This window comes from Homo sapiens, chromosome 5 (assembly GCF_000001405.40).
Source record: "Homo sapiens chromosome 5, GRCh38.p14 Primary Assembly".
NCBI lineage: Eukaryota > Metazoa > Chordata > Mammalia > Primates > Hominidae > Homo > Homo sapiens.
The window spans coordinates 147,721,280-147,739,956 of NC_000005.10; the positions used below are offsets into that span (position 1 = coordinate 147,721,280).

The 18,677-nt window shown below is 39.5% G+C and overlaps 1 protein-coding gene and 1 long non-coding RNA gene across 9 annotated transcripts in view, besides 1 other annotated feature; one reads left to right on the top strand and one right to left on the bottom strand.

Moving 5' to 3' along the window:
- Positions 1–18,677, bottom strand: part of JAKMIP2 (janus kinase and microtubule interacting protein 2) — a 197,291-nt gene that overhangs the window by 135,842 nt on the left and 42,772 nt on the right. The gene's annotated exons all lie outside the window — the stretch shown is intronic.
- Positions 172–962: an enhancer, noted in NCBI's record as "NANOG-H3K27ac-H3K4me1 hESC enhancer chr5:147101014-147101804 (GRCh37/hg19 assembly coordinates)". NCBI's record gives its function as "activates a minimal SCP1, AML or CMV promoter by ChIP-STARR-seq in naive H9 embryonic stem cells {active_cell/tissue: H9 hESC(naive)}" and the evidence as "EXISTENCE:reporter gene assay evidence [ECO:0000049][PMID:30033119]".
- On the top strand, positions 951–18,296 carry LOC105378218 (uncharacterized). Of its 2 annotated transcripts, none has more exons than XR_001742934.2 (3): positions 951–1,030; positions 4,163–4,301; positions 18,033–18,296. It is a non-coding gene; the product is annotated as an uncharacterized LOC105378218 (long non-coding RNA). The 2 variants fall into 2 exon arrangements; XR_001742933.2 differs by lacking the exon at positions 18,033–18,296 and adding an exon at positions 4,841–5,227.

The following is an 18,677-nucleotide window of genomic DNA, read 5'->3' on the forward strand; positions in this document are numbered from 1 at the left end:
CAGAGGTTACTGCTGTCTTTTTGTTTGTCTGTGCCCTGCCCCCAGAGGTGGAGCCTACAGAGGCAGGCAAGCCTCCTTGAGCTGTGGTGGGCTCCGCCCAGTTGGAGCTTCGAGGCTGCTTTGTTTACCTCAGCAAGCCTGGGCAATGGCGGGCGCCCCTCCCCCAGCCTCGCTGCCACCTTGCAGTTTGATCTCAGACTGCTGTGCTAGCAATCAGCGAGACTCCGTGGGCGTAGGACCCTCCGAGCCAGGTGCGGGGTATAATCTCGTGGTGCGCCGTTTTTTAAGCCCGTCGGAAAAGCGCAGTATTCGGGTGGGAGTGACCCGATTTTCCAGGTGCCGTCAGTCACCCCTTTCTTTGACTCGGAAAGGGAACTCCCTGACCCCTTGCGCTTCCCAAGTGAGGCAATGCCTCTCCCTGCTTCGGCTCGCGCACGGTGCGCGCACCCACTGACCTGCGCCTGCTGTCTGGCACTCCCTAGTGAGATGAACCCGGTACCTCAGATGGAAATGCAGAAATCACCGTCTTCTGCGTCGCTCATGCTGGGAGCTGTAGACCGGAGCCGTTCCTATTCGGCCATCTTGGCTCCTCCAGGCCCTTAAAATTATATTTCTTTCATACTAAAGTGTGGGAGGAAATATGGGTATCACCTTCCTGGCGATTTCCCATGGCTGGGACCTCTTAGGAAGCAGTCTCCCTAGAGTATTTCAAAATAATTATGAAATACCTACTTCCTGTCGAAAGGTGTCCCTCCTATTTACTCTGAGTTTTCATAAATAATTTACAATACAAAAGTATTTGATGGTGTGACATTTTAAAGACAAGGAACAGAATGATTCCTAAAGGCTCCTCCATATCTATAACATTTTAAAAAATCAACCGATTGCTGTTTGTAATCTCTCCCTGATTTTGCTGCAAATGACTAATCTTAGTATTTTCCTTCTTGTTGCAGTTCTCACCTTGATGATTTTATAAATACCTGTGCAATCATTTAAGGATGCTGTTATAACTTGCTATCACAGGATTCAGGTTTGTCTCTTGCTCTTTTTAGTTATTCCTCTCCCCGTCTTTTCTCCTTTTAACTCCCCTTCCCTACTCTTTTCTTCTTTGTTTCTGATTACCTGCTTTGCACGTGTGAGGTACCTTGTGTAAGTAGCAGCTTTTTCCTAAAAATTCCTCTTCATGATTTCCCAAATCTCTAAATCTTGGAGGATTTGCACCAATGAGTTCCAAAATGTCACAGGCTATAATTTATTTATATTTTGTCTCATTGAGTGAAGAGTATTTGACCTGTGGTTTTAAAATACATGACTAGCCCCAGCCAAGTGTAGCTAACGAAAGAGTTGCATGGGACAATGTCAGTCATAGAAGGAAGGTGATAATATTTCGGTATTATTAGAAATGAAATGAAGAAAAAACTAAATCATCTGATACTGAAGATGACAAGTTTGGTGTTTTGTTCGATGAAACAAGACTACCTATCATTTACTGTTCTCTTGATGCCAAGGTAATTAATGTTCTTAAAAAGTTATCTAACTTAAAAAAATTAGAGATAGAAAAGAAAGTTCATTTCCATTCCATCCTCTTTTTTTTTATCCCTCTGCATCCCCATTTCATGTGGTTATTGCAGGAGAGAATACATTGCTTTTATAAAACTAGTATAGTTACACAACATCAGCAAAGCATTTTTGGGGGATGAAAAATAAGAATATTATGTTATTAATTACATTTTGAATTTCAAAAAATTTAACCACGCATCATCAACACTGTATTGCAACTAAAGGAAATAGTGGAAAATTTAGAATACTGTATATATTTTGCATTTCACTAGTAGGGTTGGCTTTCCTAAGCTACTTGGCCTTTATGTCCTGTTCATCTTATTTTAATATAAGATTAGAGAGAATACCATATATCCTACGTTATCAGATACAAAAAAATCTAGATATACGTATATTTTTGTAAATAGGTTGATTTACCTGGCATTTGGTATCTTAGCCCTCTCACATATGTTAAATGGAATACTTTTCAAACTAACATGTAAAGATCATGCCAAATAACTCTTCCAAAAATAAGAAACATTTGTATGATTAAAGACATTTTTCAAAGAGAATGGGGGGAAAGTTTAACACAATGACTTTGTACATTCTCGATGGTATGTTCTATTACAATTTTTTGTTTGGGCTATTAACATGAATTTTGTGCAATACTATGAGGGGAAGATTGGTTACTTTTCAAAGAAACCACTTATTTTCTCTCAAAACTGAGTGTCTAATCAAAGGCAATTTTTTAGAACAGGTTATCATTGGTCAAATGTAGTAAAAAGTTGATATTCCTCTTCAATATTCACAAGATGACTCTCTTACTCTTCTGTGTCTTTCGACATAGTTATTTTTAGCAATTACAGCTCTGCCTTTGTCTCATTTACTATGCAGTCTGTATAACCATTATTAGACATTACAGGAAAGAAAGCCACATGGCTTAAAAAGTACTCATTCTGTCTTATCCACCAGCCATGGCTGTCTCTTTACAGTAGCCTAGGGAGAGTAACCCCAGACACATTAACACTTTACAAAATATAATGAATGTGTAAAACCCCCAAAGAGAGATGTATAACGTACCTGAAAATACTGTGGTGAAATGACCTAATAATTTTTCACTGCCCGTGGGAAAGTATTCTCACATCTCCAGAGGGGCTTTAATACAATCAAATTCAATATTCAGAAGATGCTATTTATTATAAAGAGTAATTCACTTAACCAGACACTTCAGTGAGGACTTATTTTGTGCCACTGAAAGAGGATAGGGCTACACAGATAAGAAGAAAATTACATAATTCTTTTATTAATAAATCTACATTTTTGAATATTTACTATTTGTCAAGCACTGAGTTAGGTCCTGTGGATACAAGGCACAAGACCTTAAATTTGTTTTTATTCTAGAGTACTTATAATGCAAGGTAGTTTTCTTCTACCATCTAAGGTGCCATATGCTTACAAATGATGCCCTCTGTAAACATTCCAAACATACATTTTCTACCACCATTATTTTTGTTGTCTTGCTCTTATTAATTGATCCCACCTGCAGCTTGATAGAATATGGCAAGGTGTTATATAGAAATATCTTCTTACGTCTTTCTTGCTCTTCTTCAATAACATAATAACAATAAAAAGACAAACTGTAATGTGTTATGTACTTGTTGTACCCAGCATTGGTCTAAGTGCCTTATAGGTATTGTCCCTAAAATCCTCTAAAAATTGATCAAATAAAAACCATTATCATTTTAATGTAATGAGAAGAAATTCTGGTTCAAAGTGACTCACTAAATCCCTTGAGTTAACCAGGCTAATAGGAGGCTCAGCTCAAACTCAAACTCAAACTCAAACTCAGGTATATTAAATACAATGGTGATATAGAAGGAAGATCTTACTGTACCCACCCTATCTTCCTTCACAAAGTCTTCCTAAATTGGGTAAGTTTGAACTGGTTTTAAAAGAGTTAGATCAGGAGATTGATGTTTTCTTTTCCTTTTTAATCACTGTCTTCATAGATAGATAAAAAACAAGGAAGGAAGGAAGGTGTCAGAGGCATTCAAACCAGAACAACTCCATCTTGAATAGGAGCTGGGTAAAATAAGGCTGAGACCTACTGGACTGCATTCCCAGGAGGTTAGGCATTTTAATAACAGATGAAATAGGAGGTCAGCACAAGATACAGGTCACAAAGACCTTGCTGATAAAACAGATTGTGGTAAAGAAGCTGGCCCAAACCCACCAAAACCAAGATGGTGATGAAAGTGACCTCTGGTTGTCCTCATTGCTCATTATACATTAATTATAATGTATTAGGATGCTAAGGGACACTCCCACCGTGCCATGATAGTTCACAAATGTCATGGAAACATCAAGAAGTCACCCTATATGGTCCAAAAATGGGATAAACTCTCGGTTCCGGGAACTGCCCACCCCTTTCCTGGAAAACTCATGAATAATCCACCCCTTGTTTAGCATGTAATTATTAAAGAAGTAATTTTAAGTATAAACAGGTGAGCAGCCCACACCACTACTCCGCCCATGGAGTGGCCATTCTTTATTCTTTTACTTCCTTAATAAGCTTGCTTTCATTTTACTCTGTGGACTCATCCCGAATTCTTTCTCGTGCAAGGTCCAAGAACCCTCTCTTAGGATCTGCACTGGGACCTACCCCTTTTTGGCAACATGTTCTTGGCAACCACGAAGGGACTATCCTGAGGAGATCCCTGACCCAAAGGAAATAGACTGCAGAACCAATTGGCTGACTTTGGGTAAGTGGTGGGGTAAACCTTACCCAGTTAAATGATGGTATTGGGTTAGAGTACCTCCTAAGACAGAGAAGGTTAAAGGCCCCTCTTAATAAAAGGCAAGGATGCTTGACCAAACTTGGGTTCCAGCCCCAACTTAGGAAGGTTAGAGTCCTTCCTAAGATTTAGAGGTTTAAAGGCCTCTCTCAGTGAAGTCCCTCTTGGTTAAAAATGGATTTGGCATAATGGGATGTTAATTGCTATTCTCTTTGGATTAATCTGCCTTGCACTCTTTGCTGACAGCTATGGGTGACAGGACTAGGCATGTACACGATAACTGGACATGGGGAGCTTTTTTTCTCTGGAAAGGGAGAAACTCGAGAGCTGATGGGACAGTAGTGAAGATTCCTTCACTATTGACAAGTGGTGACCTGAACTTTTGATTCAGTGTTGCTGCAATAAGTGGGTCTTTCTCTGCCTCTCTTAGCTCCTTGCCTTCCCCACCCTGCCACAGACAATGCTTTTCTCCTTTTCTCTCCTTTTATATCTTTTCTGTTACTCAGGGCGACCATCTTGCCCAGACACCACATGCTGAAACACTTGGTCGGAAGGATCATTCCACCCCACTTTGAGTGGATCAAAGATGACAAGGCCCAAGTAGGGGCAAGTTTGAGCCTGGCCAGTTCAATATTGGGTGCTAACTGGAGTGGCTAATGTCTATGTTTTGTCACACGTATTTTGCTCTGCTCAGAATGGAAGAAGATGGTTTTCCTTTGTGTTGCGGTTTGGCCCCCAGGGCTGTGGTGTGGCGAGCCAAGTCACTAGGGCTGCCCAAGGAAAGGGAACACAGAAGCCTGGCGTGCTGGCAAAAGGGTGGGAATTTCTTACCAGTCAGGCTTTGGGCCTCCCTGTGTGCATAACTGGTTGAATAAATGGCAAAAATAACTGTTCATCCCCTCTGTAAAGTTTTGATTAATGGGAAAAGAATTTGTGAGGTACGTCTGAAGCTGTAGCAAATCTGGTGTACTTTGTGCTATAAATTTATCTTCCTGTATTGTACTGCCATAAAGAGGAGTACCTTAGGATAGAACATGGGCTTAGGACCCCATAAGCCCACTGTTAAAGCCAGCCTGGCAAGTTGGTCAGTAACAAACTTTGCTGCAGGTCCCTGAAACAAACAAGCAAAAACAACTGAATGAAGTTTCCTTCTCGTCTTGTTTTATGTCCTTGGAAGCTTGAGCTTGTGACCATATGGCAGTACTTTCTTTTAGTCTCTGCTTATCCAGAGGACAGGAATTTAGGGGTTCATGTTGTAGTTAGCCCCAAAAATTACCTCAAGCAGTTAAAAGCCTTTGCAAGCTCAAAATTGGCTGCTCTAGACTCCCTCTGGGAAGAGCAATGGAAATTGCCCAGTGCTGTGGCTTAGTAGCTAAGGCTTTGTCTTTTCACAATGACGGCCTGGGTTCAGGGTTCAATTCCCAGCTTAGGGAATGGGTCCTTTCTGGCTTAATATCTGTGTGACCTTTACCATTTGTTGATTCTCTTCTCCTCCATGAACTACTTCTGGCTTCATTTCTTGAATCTTCCTTTCTCTGAGCTACCTGTGGAGATTCTAAATCTTGTAAAAACTGCTAACCACCTCTTTGAAAAGAACTTGTCCATTCATGGTCAAATCATAACCTTAGTTAAGCCTTATTGGTTTCACCTGTGAGTTTATTTTTGGTAAAGTTTAAAAGCCAGAAATATTGGCTGTTTTGCCCAGCTAAAGTAGGGTGTATTTGTCTGGTTTTACACTGATATAAAGAACTTCCCTGAGACTGGGTAATTTATAAAGGAAAGAGCTTTAATTGACTCACAGTTTGGCATGGCTTCAGAGGCCTCAGGAAACTTACAATCATGGCAGAAGGCAAAAGGGAAGCAAGGAACCTTCTTCACATGGCAGCAGGAGAGAATGCAGGAGGAACTGCCAAACACTTTTAAAGCATCAGATCTTGTGAGAACTTACCGTCATGAGAACAGCATGATCCAATCACCCACCACTAGGTCCCTCACTCAACACATGGGGATTAAAATTCAAGATGAGAATTGGGTGGCAACATAGAGCCAAAACATCTCATAGGATAGTAATAAGAGATTTAAAAGGATTTTATTTTTTAAGGAGTACTACGGTTAAAAGTCAGCTCAATTAAAAGCAGATATTCAAGCTATAGGTATATTTTAAAGGCCTTTATGTTTTATTCTCTTCTTGGATTGTGTTTTTCTGGAAAAAAGGTTTTTTTCTTTTCTTCTCAGTAGACTTAATTGTTTTTCTCCATTTTGTCTTCTTGCTACTCTTGATGCACACATGAGAGGACCTAAGATAATACAACCTGGGACTCCTTGGGAAAAACAGAAGAGGGGCCACAGACTGCGTTTTGGGAAAAACGTCTATTTTCCTCATGAAACCCCAGGGATTAAAAGCAGACAGATCCCTCTTAAAATCTAAGGCTCTGTTCTGTTTTGCTTTGCTTTATCTGACGTTTTTTGACTTTTTAGGGGTATCAGAAATTACTTCGCAGTATGTGAGAATTTTGATTTATAATAACTAGGTAGGAAATATACTTTTAGGGGTGGCTAATGGCAGTCATGAGAGGATACTTGGCTCTTTGCACATTTGGATTGGGAGAAGCATGCTCTTGGCCATCTGGAAGGTATGGAAAAGTCTCCACCCCTCCACTGAGAGATAAGGCTCCCATCAGGGTGGGCTAATCACAAAATGAGTTGATTGGTTTTGGGTTGCCTTGCAATAAAATGCATGGTAAAATCTTTGCATTGTCTTGTTCTGTAGTGTCCTTTTGGGATTCAAGATGTAATATAAAAATGGGATCCTTAATTTTGGGAGATCTGTTTTGTCTTCCAGCTGTGCCACATTATTAGGTCCTAGAAACTGTGTGTTTTAAAGAGAAACATTAAAAACTGGCAAATGAAAAAAACTTACACGTACTGAAACTATTTCTGTCTGTGTATTTATATTTGTTGTGTGTGTGATGTTTATATATGAAAGAGCTCTGATTAACTGGCTGAAAAATAATAAGTGCTTAAATCAAATATTGTCAGAAAAACAAAAACTAATGCCTTTTAGTTCACATGACTTAAATAATCTTTGGGAAATAAAGACAATTATAAGATTATTGGTAAAATTTGGAGATTTGACCTAAATTAGGCAGGTCAGATATTTGGTTTGCTAAATGCTTTAAGGTCATAAACTGCTTCTCTGACTTTTGAAAATTGTTCAGCTTACCTGCTTTAGAGCCATTAGATCCTAGATACGGTATGGGGACATGTGGAATTAGCCATTCCCCCTAGCAATGCTGGAAAGTGTCAGACCTTATCTGCACTTCTGTCTGGTGTCCTAGGTGCCACACCTGGTACATAATTAGAATCACTTGCTTACCAAGTTTTTCACCAAAAATAAAAGTGGCTAAGAGTTAACATTGTAACATGTAATTGAGACTACTGAAGAAACAGTTTTACATGCAAGGTGTGTAAGGGAGAAGGGAAGGAAGAGGAGAGAAGGCAGGAAAGAGGGAAGGGAGGGAGGAATTTCTCTCTCACATAGTGTTAGGATGTCCCTGAATTAAGAGTTGGCTGACATCAGTTTTTGTCACAGATGCATGACCTTGGCTAAGAATTTAGCCCTTTCATGACTGTTTTCTCATTTATAAAGTCATAATCCCAGCCTTGCCTAGGTCACCTCCTCACTTCTTGAGAATAAAATCAGAGGATGCTCGAGACAGCCCTTTGAAAACTAAAAGAAGATGCTTAGGTGTCATCAGTAAACCCTGGGTGTGGGGCAGGGGAGGACAGAAAAATCACTAAGCCTTATGTCTCTAAACCATTATAATTTCAAAAGGTTAAAGCAAGGTTAGATGTTGTCACATAAAAAGCTTTGTTCTGGCCAGGAGCTGTGGTTCACGCCTGTAATCCCAGCATTTTGGGAGGCCGAGGTGGGCAGATCATGAGGTCAGGAGATTGAGACCATCCTGGCTAACATGGTGAAACCCCGTCTCTACTAGAAATACAAAAAAATTAGCCGGGCGTGGTGGCGGGCGCCTGTAGTCCCAGCTACTCGGGAGGCTGAGGCAGGAGAATGGTGTGAACCCAGGAGGCGGAGCTTGCAGTGAGCCGAGATCGCGCCTCTGCACTCCAGCCTGGGAAACAGAATGAGACTCTGTCTCAAAAAAAAAAAAAAAAAACTTTGTTCTGTGAAATATTTATTCCCTGCAAAACTTTCTGAACAAAGCAGAGGAAACACAAGAGTCAAAGAAGATGCAGCTGAGTGCTATGGTTAAGGAAGCAGACACTGAAGTCAGCTCAGCCTGGTTTGAAATAAGCTTGGCCATTCATTATCTACAAGACCATAGAGGTTGTTTAACCTTTCTAAACCTCACTTTCCTATCTGTAAAATAGGAAGAACAGCCATCTGACAAGATGATTCCAATTATTAAATAAAAATAATGTAAGCAAAGAGCTTGGCATTGTTCCTGGCACATAGAAAATGCTCAATAAATGGTCTCTGCAGAGTCTGGCACACTCGGTGATTTCCTACCAATACACTTACATTTGTTTAACCGTGGGTGAAGCCTGAGTCATTTCAGGCCAGTTAGAAGGTTGATAAAGAATGTAAGCAGATTCAAGGTTTTAGAAACTGACAAAGATTCTTTGCCTGGCCAAACTTTCATCAGGGTCCTAAGTCCATCTGTGTATGTCCTTGTAAAATTCAGGTTTAGCAAAGAAGCTGCTAAGTCAGTTTGGCAAAAAGCCTCCACCCTCAACATCTGATCACCCTCAATATATGATTAGGTTCCTCATCCTCCACTGCCTCCCATGTGATATCGGATCATCTTGCCCTATTTTTTTTTTTTGTTATTGTTTTTTTGAGGTGGAGTCTCGCTCTGTCGCCAGGCTGGAGTGCAGTGGTGCAATCTTGGCTCACTGCAACTTCCACCTCCCGGGTTCAAGTGATTCTCCTGCCTCAGCCTCCCTAGTAGCTGGGACTAGAGGCACACGCCACCATGTCTGGCTAATTTTTGTGTTTTTAGTAGAGACAGGGTTTCACTATGTTGGCCAGGCTGGTCTTGAACTCCTGACCTCATGAGCCGCCGGCCTCAGCCTCCCAAAGTGCTGGGATTACAGGTGTGAGCCACCACACCCAGCCCATCCTGCCCTATCTTAAGCCAGAATCCTATTAGTTCAGTTTAGTCAGAATTTCCCTTACCGCTGATGTTTGCTGTTGGTAATTTTCCTTCCACTGACCCTCACTCTGCTTCTTGGCTATACATTCCCACTTGCTCATGCTGTATTAGGAGGTGAGCTCAATCTCTCTCCCCCACTGCAAGACTGTCACAGTGGTCCCTATATTTATCATGATGGTCCTGAATAAAGGATTTTTTTTTTAACCATGCTTTAACAAATAACATTGAATAATTTTTTCTTTAACAGAAGAATTGAGGCCAAGTTGTTAGATTGGAACAAAATGAATGGGCAGGAAATGAAAGTGAGTGTCCCCGGCCAGATTCACAGAGGCAATGCAATGCAGAAACAAGGGTCACGTCAGTTCTATTTTGGATGGACAAGGGGAGAGATTTCAATGAGACCACGACGATCTGGTTTGACCATAAAAGGCACTGCTTGGAATTTTTAGAAAAAGAAATCATGAAAGATGAAATAAATCCTTTGGGGGGTTGCGAGGTAATTTACACTTCTGGGTAAAGCAATGGTAATATTTCAAGTAGCTCACGAAAGACTAACTTTACACCTGCTGTCCTGGTACGACTATTAGCAGTGTTCTAAAAGTGCCCAGGTCTGGACAATAAATTATACATAATACTCTTACTTCTGAAGCCTTGGGAATAAATGAGGACTGTTTGGAAGGATTCTCAATGAGGCTTTTGCAGAAGTTGTGAAAGTAGCAGTTTCTCAAATAACATACTTAAGTTCGTGATCTCTTAAATTAATGGTCATGTTTTTCTAGGAAGAAGACCTTTGGATTTACAGTCCCAGCAAGCACAGCAATGCCTTATTCTTTTTATCTAGATTATTTTCCTTTAAATTAATCGTCATGTTTACCCAGGAAGACCTTTGGATTTAGAGTCTCTGCAAGCACAGCAATGCCTCCTTCTTCCTTTTATCCAGATTATTTTCTTCCAAGACAACTGCAACAAAAGTTTTGAAAAATAGGTCACCTAGATTTCAAAACTATTTTGTTTCCAGCCATCTGGGGCTGAGGATGATTAGCTGTTCTTGGTATCATGGCAGAAACCCGACGCAACACATTTATTTGCACATCTCCCAGTGTTGCAGCATTGTTCTGGGTATTTGATATTCAGACGATGTATCAAGAATTTGAGCCTTGGAGAAGAAAACCACTCAGCATTTCAATTAGAATCAGTGTGTTGTGCATACAAAACATCACTACAGAAAATCTTGGAACATGTTGTATTATTACGTGGGTTTTTAAAACTAAATATTGCCAAGTAGTTGCAAGGTAAATTCTAATCTGCATGGGTGATCTCTTTTCCATCCCTGAGTTTTCCTCAAAGAAAGGTGGTAAATACAGACTCCCGGTTTGCACTTCCAAATTTTTACCCCTTTAGGTTTCCAGTCTATGTTTAGTGAATTCTTCTCAGCACACTTAATAGACTCTGTATAAAGCTTTGATTAAATGGCATCTAAGAAAGCATCCCATGTGAATCCATGTATTTCTTACAATGCCCAAAATAACTATAAAAATGTTTAGTGGCTTCATTTACAATAATTGCCATTTTTGTGCCCTTCCCCCATCTTGCTGGATAGATTCTTAATGTTCTTCTCTTTCACCATGCGTTTGTGGAGCTGCCAGCGTTCTATTCACAGCTGCTAATTATCAACACAGAAAACAGAGATGGCTCTATCTCTTGTAAGAGTATGTTAGAATTTAACTGCAGCTATTTCTCCTTGTCTGCCTCAATGGTGGATATAGGAGAAAACATAAGGCTAATTGTATTCAGATAGTAATAATGAGGTAATACTACTATTAAAATAATAATAGCAACTGTATATTGAACATTTACTAGGTGCAAAGAACTTTATTTGCATGATGTCATTAATCCTCACAAAACCCCACAATGTAAGTGCTTTCACTATATTATTTCAGTAAAGAAACTAAGCCTTAGAAAGGTTAACTAGCTTGCCCAGTGTCTCACAGCTGGGATCACACGATTTAAACCCAGGTTTTTCTGGCATTTGATTTTATTCTTAATTTCACGCTGTGATGTTTATCTTTTATGGTATTATGTTCTGAAATATCTAACACCATTCTGCCATTTGATCTCAAAGCATTGTATTAGAATTCTTCTGTCTTCCTGGCACCTTCAAAGAAATATCCAAAATTAAGATCCTTATAATGCTTACAGAATTTTAAGTTGATAGAGATTGGCTGTGCAAAACAACTTATAATTAACTCATGGTTTAGGTGAGGATTTTTTCAATCCATTAAACTCTGAAATTCTTAAGGAGAGAGATGGTATCAATCGTTTCATCCTCATTGATGAGCACAATAGTTGACAGGTAGTTGTCATCAGGAATGCTTATTGAGTAAATGTGGACAAAAAATAGACAAAAATGTTACTCATGATAATATAATTCACTTTAGATGTGAGAGCAACTCAGATACAAAAGCTGAAATGGACAATTTCAGTCCATGCTGAGCTGTGCTCAAAAAGGGATGGAATGAACAAAGAATGTCTTTATGTTTATGCTGTTACTGAGCTGCCTCATTCTTGCCTTTCCTAATTATTATCCTTTTGTGCTGGCACTTTCCACTTTGCTCCCTATGCCTTCTGGTCAGGCACTTCACTCACCCTTTGGAGAAAGCAATTTTTAAAAATATTTATCTTTTTTTATTATACTTTAAGTTCTGGGATACATGTGCAGAACATGCAGGTTTGTTACACAGGTATACATGTGCCATGATGGTTTGCTGCACCCATCAACCCATCATTTACATTAGGTATTTCTCCTAATGCTGTCCCTCCCCTACTCTCCCACCCGCTGACAGGCCCCGGTGCGTGATGTCCCCCTCCCTGTGTCCATGTGTTCTCATTGTTGGACTCCCACTTATGAGTGAGAACATGCAGTGTTCGGTTTTCTGCTCCTGTGTCAGTTTGCTGAGAATGATGGTTTCCAGTTTCATCCATGTCCCTACAAAGGACACAAACTCATCCTTTTTTATGGCTGCATAGTATTCCATGGTGTATATGTGCCACATTTTCTTTAACCAGTCTATCATTGATGGGCACTTGGGTTGGTTCCAAGTCTTTGCTATTGTGAACACTGCTGCAGTAAACATATGTGTGCAGGTGTCTTTATAGTAAGAATGATTTATAATCCTTTGGGTATATACTCAGTAATGGGATTGCTGGGTCAAATGGTATATCTGGCTCTAGAACCTTGAGGAATTGCCACACTGTCTTCCACAATGGTTGAACTAAATTACCCTCCCACCAACAGTGGGTGAAGGATATGAACAAACACTTCTCAAAATAAGACATTTATGTGGCCAATAAACATATGAAAAAAAGCTCATTATCACTAGTCATTAGAGAAATGCAAATCAAAACCACAATGAGATACCATCGCATGTCAGTTAGAATGGTGATCATTAAAAAGTCAGGAAACAACAGATGCTGGAGAGGATGTGGAGAAATAGGATGTGGCAAATATACACCATGGAATGCTATGCAGCCATAAAAAATAATGAGTTCATGTCCTTCCCAGGGACATGGATGAAGCTGGAAACCATCATTCTCAGCAAACTAACACAGGAACAGAAAACCAAACACCACATGTTCTCACTCATAAGTGGGAGCTGAACAATGAGAACATATGGACAGAGGGGGGAACATCACACAACGGGGCCTGTTGGAGGGTGGGGGGGCTAGGGGAGGGACAGCATTAGGAGAAATACCTAATGTTGATGACGGGTTGATGGGTGCAGCAAACCACCATGGCACATGTATACCTATGTAACAAGCCTGCACATTCTGCCCATGTATCCCAGAACTTATACTATAATACAAAAAAAAAAAAGGAACGCCTTTTTGTTTTTGTATTTATTTGTGATAAACTTTCCATCCTTTCATTTACCATTGCTGTTTCAGCACTTTTGCATGTAAGGTTATTGACAAAACTGATTGTTTTCCAAGAAGGACAACAGGAATTGATTTTGGGGTAAGATTTACAAACTACACGTAGATCATAACAAACTGCTAATAAACTGCCTTCTGTTTCTAGTGGGTTGTAAACAAAGTCTGATTTATCCTCTGTGTAAAGTGGACAGATGGAGGAGGTATCCCGAGGCCCTTGTAGACACCTATTTAAGAGTGAAATGCTCTACTACTGCAGGAAGCAGAGTAAATATCCTTTCAGTAGTTTTGCAAGAATGCAAACAGAGGGTCAGACAGGAAACACCTGAAAGTGGTATTCCTGCGATCTGCATATGCTGGGTCAGATCTCTGCTACTGAGGTGTCTCTATTTCTATTTGTTTCTCTCCTGCCAGACTTCAGTTTGAGTGTTAGCTTTACCAACAATAAGACCTTGGCCAAATTACTTAAACTGTCTTAGTTCCCTCATTTAAAGAAAGTGCATCGTGTGAAATTCAAGTGAGACAACTTACAGAATGTGAAAGTGATTGTCAAATGGTAAAGCGCTCTTCAAATGTTGCTTATTGTATTAGTCTGTTCTCAGGCTGCTAATAAAGATATACCCAAGACTGGGTAGTTTATAAAGGAAAGAGGTTTAATTGACTCACAGTTCCACATGGCTGGAGAGGCCTCACAATCAAGGTGGAAGGTAAATGAGGAGCAAAGTCATGTCTTAAATAGTGGCAGGCAAGAGAGCTTGTGCAGGGCAACTCTGGTTTATAAAATCATCAGCTCTCGTAATTCTTATTCACTATCATGAGAACACTAAAGGAACTGCCCCCATGAGTCAACTATTCCACCTGGCCCTACCCTTGACACGTGGGGATTATTACAATTCAAGGTGAGATTTGGGTGGGGACACAGCCAAACCCTATCACTTATCATTATTACAGGCATCATCTTTCAAAAGTTTCCACTAATTGGATGATGAATGATTTATTGTTAATGATTAGCCTTCTTTCATAATTGGCCAGCTCAAAGTTCTATTTATTAGGCATAGTATTTAATGTTTTTTAGCTGTTGTACTTTCTAGCAAACACTGCTATTGGTAGCTCAGTGTAGGTTCTATTTTTAAGAAATAAAGTCAGCACAGTGGACTAGAATGAATGCTGGTTTGAAGTGAGTAGTTTCATAGTTCTGGTCTCAGGTTGGAGTGCAACTTGTTACCACTCTGAGAAAGTCATTCAACTTGTTACCACTCTGAGCAAGTCATTCTCCTCTCTGAACCTCAGGACAGATTAAATAAGGCAATGCCCATAAATCAACACTCTTTCCTACCCTTCATTTTTCAACTAGCTCAAAAAAATACAGTGAACTGTTTTTCACCTATAATTCTCAAGAGTTGGGGTTTTCTAGTTTATCTATTTCCTGATTAATTAAAATTAAAAATTTGGGGGCCGGGCACAGTGGCTCACACCTGTAATCCCAGCACTTTGAGAGGCCATGGCAGGTGGATCACTTGAGATCAGGAGGTCAAGACCAGCCTGGCCAACATACTGAAACCCCGTCTCTATTAAGAATACAAAAAAAAAAATAGCTGCATGTCGGGGCACACATCTGTAGTCCCAGCTACTTGAGAGGCTGAGGTAAAACTGCTTGAACCTGGGGGGTGGAGGTTGCAGTGAGCCAAGATTGCGCCACTGCACTCCAGCCTGGGTGACAGAGAAAGACTCTATCTCAAAAAATAAATAATTAAAAATTAAAAAATTAAACTTTTCTTTCAATCATTGCCAGAAGCATTTTAGGAAGACTAATCCATATCACTTAAAGAACATTATCTATTTAGGGGGTATCATAGAGTTTATTTAATCAAAACCCTGTACTTTTATGAGGTTGGATATTTATATGTTGGATATTTATAAGGGGTATCATAGAGTTTATTTAATCAAAACCCTGTACTTTTATGAGGTTGGATATTTATATGTTGGTTTCAACATATAAATATTGAAACCCTATATTGTTTCAATACTGAAGATATTCAGGTAACTTATGGCAATGTACGGAATTTAGGGTCAATCTTCACATATATTTGCTAAGTATTACTATTTCCCAACTGAGTTCCCAAATTAGGGAAGAAGAGAGAGGTTTTCTACAATAGACATTGTGCCTGATAGGGTAAGATTTGAGTTGTGCTTAGTTAGTAGTCATGCATGAGATATATAATTTATAAGATCACAAGTGTTCACATATGCTTCTTACTGTAGGGCTGACTATCTGATGTCAGGCCCAGCAATCTCCGTTCAAGAACACAAATTTAGAGAAAAAAGCCAGAATATTTCCAGAAATATTTATTGTAATAGAAATTTTGAATGCTGTAATATTTTAATTCCTGAGACTTAAGTATTGCCTGATGTGGCAGAATGAAAATACTTCCCACTTTAATGTCAAAATGTCTCTTAATAAAACTAACTATACAGCAGAAGCATATGATTATCACAAAATTTTCTGTGCCCTGTTCTAGTCTTGTTATAACTCTGCTCTTGCAGTGTTATAAATCAAGACTATAAATAAAGATGTAACTTTTTATTTTCTCAGTTTTAGACCAAGATATTCAAGTACTTTTTCCTATAGACAGAAATGAAGAAAGCACTTACTAATAAATAGCACTGAGATTTTTATTTTCCTCAACCAAAATGGTGATGATATAAATTTAGAATTGAAATCCTCAAAGGTTGGAAATGTTACACTGAGTGGGATCTTCCCAAAACTCTCCTACTTTTGTAATCTTTAAGGTATACTTTCTGACAATGAAAGCAATCAAGCTGTGACAGACCTCCAGGTTTAGCTATTTAAAATAATATTATTGGAAAGTAACATTCTCACTAAAGGTGGTCAGAATTCTAGATTGATTAAGTTGGGTGGTTTAAGTGTCTGAGTTACAAGTGTCTTATTGAGTGCAATATATCGATATACTTATTTTTCAAAATGTTATAATGGGTTTAAGTATCAATACCTTGCAGACAAAAGAAATTTGAGATGTGTGCTTTATAAGAAAATTCACAGCATGGAAATTTAATATATAGTTCAGGAAATTTAGTTCTGAACACTACCTTAGAACTTCCTTTACAGAACGTTAGATTTAAGATGGTAAGTGTCTTAGTAAATATAAGTTGATGATTAAGAGCTTGGGCTTTGGAGTGATAAAAGCCCAGAATCAGATATTGGTCCTCCCACGTAACAGGTGTGTGAGCTTGAACCATTTACTTTCACAAGTTTTTTTTTTCCTTAAAAGAAACAATTTATTTAGAATAAAACAAAAGCAGCTCAACTGTGAGCACACGTTTGAGAGACAGCTACTCTTAAGCTGTATGAGCCATAAAAAGGGTTTTTATTTACTTTTCCAGAAATCTTGTGTACACAGCACGAAGCAAAGAGGTCATTTTTTTTTCCCACTTAAAACACCAGCATTGGAATCACAATAGCAGATACACAACTTTAAGCTGCCATTTTAGTAAAATGCACAAATACTAAACATACTAGCTTTCTTCCATCAGAGCCCCATATAAACTCCACATAAGCCACAACTTCTCTTCAAAAAGGTCCATTAGAGCTTTGAATTCCATATCTTCATCCGCTGTTCAACCAGTTTTGCTTGTGGCGTGGGGGAGAGAAAGGTTATTCAGTACAAATGTTTACAATATTAAAAATATATGTATTTCCCCTATGTCATTATAGATGAACATAACATTAACAAGACCTTCCTGGATAGTTCACCTCAACTTCAAAAAGCAGCAATAGTACCCACTGGCATAAATCTTGAAATGAATTTACTGTATGAATAGACATATAACAAGACTGCAATTGCAGATAATAAGACTGAAAATACCCTTTATACTCGTGTAACTGAGTAAGCATGCCAAAAAATTCAGAAAAAAAGTTTCACAATCAATTTATAATTTATCAATATATTCTAAATATAACTTAAAAAGTGAAACTACAAAAAGGTGAAGTTTAGTCAAACTTTTGGCCCATCCATCTACTAAGTTTTTATCTTCCCATAAGAAAAAGAGTGATAAAGGTGGCAGCTACCTCCCATGATTGTCACTAGGATTTAATGAGATCACGAGATAATCACAGTCTTTACTAAGACCCAAGATATAACAGATGCTGTAAATCAAAGAAAGAAACTGGATTAAAATGTTTTGAGAATCAGTTTCATAACCCTTGGGCTCTTCATCCAAGGATCTTTAAACAAGATGTAGGATACAAAATTTTTGCGGGTGAAATGGAGGAGGGATTTGTTTAAGTGATTTGGGGCAAGAGGGTTTGAAGGACGGTAGGTCACACCTGCTCCTTAAGCCTCACCAAGGGGAAGGGGCTCTGCTCACAGCAGCCTGGTGAGGGGCTTGAATGAGCCTGCTGGGGAAAGCTTAATATGGGTCTCCCAGAACTTTAGAGGCAACAGACTTGAGTCAGACTCTCACCAAGAAAGATGGAGGGCAGCAGAGAAATGCACGAGCGGCTTTCCTGGGAGGGTGGAGGCGAGGTGCTGCGGCATCTGCAGGGTAACTGCATTCTCTCTCATTTCTCTAGCGGGTCAAAGAATATGTGAGATTCCCCACACATTTATGCCACAGGAGGAGAAAAGCCTGCCTAGGGGTGTTTTAACTTATGCCCAGAAGTACCACCTGGAAGAGGCAACGAGACTTTATTCATAAGAATCTAAGTGGAGCATTCTCCCAGACAACCAGCGGCGGAGCAAGGAGGGGCTGGCCAAACAGTGACGTTGACTGGTGCATGAGACGAACAGAGGCTCACAGAAGAGCCTCTGAAGAGCCCACAAAAAATGTCCATAAGGTAAAAGAGTCAGCTTTGAACTTATTTTTCAGTAGGCAACAGAAGCTTCACAGAAGAGAGCTTGAAGCTCTCTTGAAGCAGCATCATGGTTCAAGCAATACCTTCTCGGTCACACTGTGCCCCTTCCCTTTCCAGTGCTCCAACTTCAGTGAGGGAGATAGAGGGTGAGAAAAAAGACAAGAAGACATCCTTTCCCGCTTAAATCAAGTTCTGAGCTCTGATCATCCTCTGGGACTAGACAGCCTAATTTCTGAAGTTAGACTGTCTGTGATTTAAAGAGATTGCAGGACTTTCTAGACTGATCAGAGAAGTCACAGCCCCTGCCCATTTTCCACCTAGGGTCATAGAAAGACTATGTCTAGTATGCACATTTTAAAGACA